The sequence below is a fragment of the Homo sapiens genome, chromosome 13 (assembly GCF_000001405.40).
Source record: "Homo sapiens chromosome 13, GRCh38.p14 Primary Assembly".
NCBI lineage: Eukaryota > Metazoa > Chordata > Mammalia > Primates > Hominidae > Homo > Homo sapiens.
In genome coordinates, this window is record NC_000013.11 from 26,996,434 (window position 1) to 26,998,027 (window position 1,594).

The following is a 1,594-nucleotide window of genomic DNA, read 5'->3' on the forward strand; positions in this document are numbered from 1 at the left end:
TTAGGTCTTTGATTGATTTTGAGTTAATTTTTGTATATGATGTTAAGTAAGGCTGCAACATTATTCTTTTGCATGTGAATATCCAGTTTCCCCAGCACAGTTTGTTGAAAAGACTGCCCTTTCCCCATTGAATGGTCTTGACACCCTTGTTGAAATCATTCAACCATATATGACAAATCAACCAAAAATGGTTTATTGGGCTCTCTATTTCATTCCATCTGTCTATATGTCTCTCTTTATGCCACTGCCACACAGTTTTGATTAGTGTAGCTCTGTAATAAGTTTTGAAATCAGGGAGCATGTGTCCTCCAACTTTGTTCTTTTTCAAGATTTTCTTGGCTGTGGTATTTTTAGCTTTAATTTCACCATCTGCAAAATGGGGATGATATTTGCACCTGCCTCACTGGATCACGTGTGTGTGTGTGTGTGTGTGTGTGTATTAAATGAGGTAAGATGCGCAAAGCACTTAGCATTTTGCCTGGAATATAGTAAGTTATATATTTAAAATATTTAAAATTTCTATTAACATAAAATGATACAAAAATTCTTTAAGGATTTATTGCCTCTTCCAAACTGTGGAATTCCCACAACTGTGATGTATCTTTTGTGACACGTACATCTCTGAGAAGACTCATTTAGAATCTATTACTAAATACTAGGGTACATGTCAGCTTCCCTGTGTTTACTGGTCCCATCTCAGCATGAACAACTCTAGACTAGGGAAGTCACACCAGTGTTCAAACCAAGCTTTGCCACATCATAACCAAACCCCAGGATGAGACAGTCTCTCTGTGCTTTTGGTTTTTTAATATTTTTTAAATGGGCATAATAATACTTTCTTCAGAGTCTTTTAGGGTGGGGGCAGGTGAGGGTGAGTTTATGTAATGTGTATGGAAAGCCTTAGCTCTGCACCTTGCACAGTCAGCACAAAATAAATTCCTCCTGCCTGCCCATCTCTCCCTGTCCCCTTTCAATTCTGCTTCAGACAGCTTGTTTCATAGCTTTTCTGCATCTCCCATGAAAGAGGCGCATGCCACGGTCTCTGACATGAGAGAATTCACTATCTCTTTAAGGAAACAAGAATAACCTCCTAAAACAGAAGCAAAACAACCCCACATCCTGCCCTTGAGGAAGCGCCACGTCCCTAAGGGTTTGAGGAGTTGACCACTGGTTCAGCAGTCACCAGGCCCTGCTCAGCCAGGCATCTGAAGACCATGGTGTTCTATGTTCTAAAACACGTCCCAAGGGCTCATTTACATATTCATCAGGAAGTAGCAATTGAGGGTCTGCCACCCAGATTTGGACCCACCTGTCCCCCTGTCTCATACGAAGGCAGATCAGCACAAAAATACAATCCAGAATGATGAGTGCAGTGGGGTTAGAGCTGGATCTAACACCAGCCTCCATCTGCTTCTGTTTCCTGAGCTTCTTCAAGGAAAAAAAAAAAAAAAAAAGCTAGAAACACAGAATTTTCTCTCTCTCTCCTTTTTTTTTTTTTTTTTTTTTAGGCATCTGGTCCTGGCTGGAGTGCAGTGGCAAGATCTTGGCTCGCTGCAACCTCCATCTCCTGGGTTCGAGCAATTCTCCTGCCTCA

General features: G+C 41.2%; 1 annotated feature.

The window, feature by feature from the left end:
• Positions 903-1,172: an enhancer, noted in NCBI's record as "active region_7495". NCBI's record gives its function as "activates an Ori minimal core promoter by ATAC-STARR-seq in GM12878 lymphoblastoid cells {active_cell/tissue: GM12878}" and the evidence as "EXISTENCE:reporter gene assay evidence [ECO:0000049][PMID:35858748]".